The sequence below is a fragment of the Homo sapiens genome, chromosome 8, assembly GCF_000001405.40.
Source record: "Homo sapiens chromosome 8, GRCh38.p14 Primary Assembly".
In the NCBI taxonomy this organism is placed as follows: domain Eukaryota; kingdom Metazoa; phylum Chordata; class Mammalia; order Primates; family Hominidae; genus Homo; species Homo sapiens.
The window spans coordinates 61,747,973-61,753,063 of record NC_000008.11 but is presented as its reverse complement, the minus strand read 5'-3'; the positions used below and the strand labels follow the sequence as shown (position 1 = coordinate 61,753,063).

Below are 5,091 nucleotides of genomic sequence, written 5' to 3'. Positions count from 1 at the left end.
CCGCCCCGTCCGGGAGGTGAGGGGTGCCTCTGCCCGGCCGCCCCTACTGGGAAGTGAGGAGCCCCTCAGCCCGGCCAGCCACCCCGTCCGGGAGGGAGATGGGGGGGTCCCCCCCACCCGGCCAGCCGCCCCATCCGGGAGGGAGGTGGGGGGGTCAGCCCCCTGCCCGGCCAGCCTCCCTGTCCGGGAGGGAGGTGGGGGGGTCAGCCCTCTGCCCGGCCAGCCGCCCCGTCTGGGAGGTGAGGGGCGCCTCTGCCCGGCCGCCCCTACTGGGAAGTGAGGAGCCCCTCTGCCCGGCCAGCACCCCGTCCGGGAGGGAGGTGGGGGGGTCAGCCCCCCGCCCGGCCAGCCGCCCCGTCCGGGAGGTGAGGGGCGCCTCTGCCCGGCCGCCCCTACTGGGAAGTGAGGAACCCCTCTGCCCGGCCAGCCGCCCCGTCTGGGAGGGAGGTGGGGGTGTCAGCCCCCCGCCCGGCCAGCCGCCCCGTCCGGGAGGGAGGTGGGGGGGGTCAGCCCCCCCGCCCGGCCAGCCGCCCCGTCCGGGAGGGAGGTGGGGGGGGTCAGCCCCCCTGCCCGGCCAGCCGCCCCGTCCGGGAGGTGAGGGGCGCCTCTGCCCGGCCGCCCCTACTGGGAAGTGAGGAGCCCCTGTGCCCGGCCACCACCCCGTCTGGGAGGTGTGCCCAACAGCTCATTGAGAACGGGCCAGGATGACAATGGCGGCTTTGTGGAATAGAAAGGCGGGAAAGGTGGGGAAAAGATTGAGAAATCGGATGGTTGCCGTGTCTGTGTAGAAAGAAGTAGACATGGGAGACTTTTCATTTTGTTCTGCACTAAGAAAAATTCCTCTGCCTTGGGATCCTGTTGATCTGTGACCTTACCCCCAACCCTGTGCTCTCTGAAACATGTGCTGTGTCCACTCAGGGTTAAATGGATTAAGGGCGGTGCAAGATGTGCTTTGTTAAACAGATGCTTGAAGACAGCATGCTCGTTAAGAGTCATCACCAATCCCTAATCTCAAGTAATCAGGGACACAAACACTGCGGAAGGCCGCAGGGTCCTCTGCCTAGGAAAACCAGAGACCTTTGTTCACTTGTTTATCTGCTGACCTTCCCTCCACTATTGTCCCATGACCCTGCCAAATCCCCCTCTGTGAGAAACACCCAAGAATTATCAATAAAAAAATAAATTAAAAAAAAAAAAAAAGATAACACAGTAGAAAAAAAAAAAAAAACAATAAAAAAAAAAAAAGTGTACCCCTAAAATGAATCTAATTATTTAAATATTAGGTAGCTACTTAACTGGTCAAGTGGAGGAGAAATTTTCAGTCCAGTCATAGACTGGTAATTGTGAGAGCTTAGACAAATTTTATATGGTAGCTAGTAGTGGTGATGAAAACTGCCTTCATCAAATACTCTTTGCAGAATTTCTTTGGGAACTTAAAAAAAATGATTTCATTTTTTCAAAATTCAAAATGCTAAAGACAATTAGATTTTTAAAAAGTAAACCTTGAATGTCTCCTAATCTACTTCAAAACTCACATCTTTGGTGTCAAATGTCATGCCAAATCTAGCATTCAAGTTAAACACTGCATTCAGTATCATGATTGATGTTTTTACATGAAGAAGCTATGTGTCGTACCTGAAAATTTCTAAAAGCCAGTTATTCATTTTTATTACTGGAAGAGTAATTAGAATAGGGCTGCCAGACTTAGCAAATAAAAATACAGAACTCCAGTATTCCAAGATTTAAAGTTAACCAGGGACCCTGTATTTTATCTGGTGACCCTAAATCAGAGAACAATTGAAAATAAAAGAAAATTTTAAAAATTACAAAATTAAAATGCTGACAATCCATAGAAAAAGGCTAGGCAGGGGCTGGTATTAGTTTTATTGGTATAAGGAGATCAGTCTGAGGTAGACACTGAGATACTGCACCCTGATTCTGCAGATTGAAGAGTCCCAGGTAGAACCAGAGAAATTAGTTTTAATATTAAAAACAAATTAAGACTTAATATTTATAATTAATTTATAAATGCTTAAAAATGTATAAGGAAATAGCAGCAACCTATTAGAAATATGAGAAAAAGCTATGGAAATAAACTTCACAGAAAATTAAGTCCAAATGGCTAAGGAATATGAAAAAAAAAATGAGGAAATACAAAATAGTAACTGTGATATTGTTACAGCCATCAGGATGGCACTTTTATCCCATTAAAAATGTCTTTCAATAGGATTATATGAATCTATATTCACCTCAAGAATGTTTTTGTAAAAGATTATTTGAAAAGAACAAGGAGGGGTATCCAGTTCTAACCCTCACTGGTGTACTGTGATTCAATCCTGGCTCTAACCCCCTGAGCTAGCACAGACCCCACAAGGTAATGTCCTCCACATGCCAGTCCCCATTTCAGACACCAGCCACAAGTCCAGCAAGTCTTCCAGCCACCCTCAGTTTTGGCCAACTGACAAAAATTTGGGGTTTCACACAATCTCTCTCAGGTTCAATAGTTTGCTAGAACGACTCACAGAACTCAGGAATAGACTATATTTGTGATTCCCACTTGATTATAAAGGATGCAACTGTGAAACATAAATAAAGGGAAACATGGAGTACCTTCTGGGAGGGTCCCAAATGAAAAGTGTCCATGCCATCTCCTTTTGGAATCAGGGCATGTTGCCTGTCTGCCCAGTGATATGTTTACTGTCACTAAGCTTCCATGTTCAGTTTTTATTTGGGTCTTATTATGTAGGTGCAATTGATTAAATCATTGGCCACTTGAATGAACTCAATCTCCAGCTGTCTTCCTCTTCTTGGAAGTCAGGCAGCTAGAAGTCCCAACATGCTAACCTATGCTTGGTCTTTCTGGTGGCCAATGCTCCTCCTAAAGCTCTCTAAGGGCCTGCTTTGAGTCATCTCATTAGCATAAAGTCAGGTGTGACCCTGGGTCCCATGAATAACAAAGCCACTTCTATCACTCAGGAAACATCAAAGGTTGTCAAAGCACCACACCAGAAACCAGGGACAAAAAATCCCAGGCAAATTCTTTATTACACAGCTAGGAGTGCAGAAGGCAAGAAGAGGCTAGCAAGAATTTGAAAAGATAAAAGACACTAGATTTGTGTTTTATGAACTTGAGGTCATGAACCATTCATTAATCAGTTTTTAAAAAAAATTTTGTTTATTACTTAGTATAGAATATAACAACAGAAAAGAAGAGAATAGACCAGAGTATATCATGTATAGTAAGAATAAGTATTATTTTGTAAAATTTTAATATACAAATGGAGATGATAGATAGAGTCACTTAGACATAAACACACAGACCGGTACACAGACTTAGAGGCTTACAATGTAAAATGGATTTAAGATAAAAAATACACCACTGTCCATCAATAAATGAATGAATACAAAAATTAAAATGTGGTATATATATACAATGGAATACTATTCAGCTTTAAAAGGGAAGAAAACTCTGTTATTTGAGACAACATGCATGAACCTGGAGGACATTATGCTAAGTGAAATAAGCCAGGCATTGAAAGACAAATACTGCATAATCTTGCTTATATATGACATCTCAAAACATTGAACTTATAGAAGCAGAGAGTATAATGATGGTTACTAGAGCCTGGTTGGGGAGAGGTGATGAGGAAAAAGCACATGGTGGAAGGATACAAAGCTTTAGTGAGACAGAAGAAATACTTCTAGTGATCTATTGCACAACATGGTGACTATAGTTAATTATAATATATTGTATATTTCAAAATTGCTAAAAGGCCAGATTTTAAATATTCTCATTACAAAAAATAAGTAAATTAGCTGGATTTTATTACTGCACAATGTATACATATATCAAAACATCACATTGTACCTCATAAGTATATACAATGAATATTTGTCAATTAAAAATTAAATTAAATTAAAAATTAACAAAACGTTTAAGGCCAGTGCCCCAAGTGGACAGATAACATTTCTATTAAAATGTGACTTATGGTATTATTTATCCAAGTTTTCTTTAAATATCCAGTTACTATTAGGACTTCAGCAAACATTTTAAGTACCATGCAAGTTATCTGAAAATAGCTCATAGGAGGAATGGTGTTTATTTTCCTTGTTAAAGTAAACACTTACTATAGCATCTATGTTAAATTTTTGTCCTATCACCCAGTGACCTAGATGAAAGTTATAAATTTACCTTGCCATGTGGAAATGTAGCTACTAAGTCATCAGAATAAGAAACGGTCAGCCGGGAATTCTTCCAGGGAGGAGTTTCTATTAACTTATGGTGCTGATTTCCTATATTTACTGAATCCCTTTCATCATTGCTTGGTCTACAGGAAAATTAATTAATACATGTCAGGCCCATATTGGGCACTGGGGATGCAGCACTGCAAAGGCATATGTGGTATCTGCCAGATGCAAGTTCTATAAATAGAGGCACCAAATCTGGCCTAGGCAGTGAAAGAGGAAACAGTGGTTAAGCTGACATCTGAAGGTTGCCAAGTTAAGAGAGAAGTAGTGAGCCCTAAGATATTAATAAGAGAGAGTCAACGAAGCTGAAAGAACCTGAGTATAATCGGTGAGGTAAGTACAAAGGAGAAGGGAGCTAAGAGGTGAGGTCTAAGACATAGGCAGGAGCTAGATTTTTAAGAGTTTAAAAGTTGCTTTATGCATTTCAGACATTACTTAAAAGCTAGTTACTATAGAGTGATTAGACCTTTCCACTTGATAACTTTTCTAAACAGCACCAGAAAAGCAAGGTCTAGAATTCTTGCCAAAGCAAGGTCTAGAACTCTCCTTGACCTGGAGTTCCTAATGGATGAACATTCATAGTCTAGTGGAAGCTGGCCAGCCTCACTTTCAGAGGGAGAGCTCTAGGGGAGAAATTGAGAATATTCTGAAGACAGGCTTGGAGGATGCCTACAGAGTGGCTGGGCATTCTCTAAATAAGAGCCAAGGAGACCATTTAAATGAGGATGTGCAAAAAGGAAACAATAAGAGCAGAGAGCAGAAGAGGATAGAAAAACAAATTATATTTTAAAAGATACAGCAGTTGTCACTCTTTTTTTTCAAAATTTGATGTTTATCCTTTCA

The 5,091-nt window shown here is 42.1% G+C and overlaps 1 annotated feature.

Annotated features, from left to right (window-relative positions):
• Nucleotides 4,395–4,474: a silencer, noted in NCBI's record as "silent region_19237". NCBI's record gives its function as "represses an Ori minimal core promoter by ATAC-STARR-seq in GM12878 lymphoblastoid cells {active_cell/tissue: GM12878}" and the evidence as "EXISTENCE:reporter gene assay evidence [ECO:0000049][PMID:35858748]".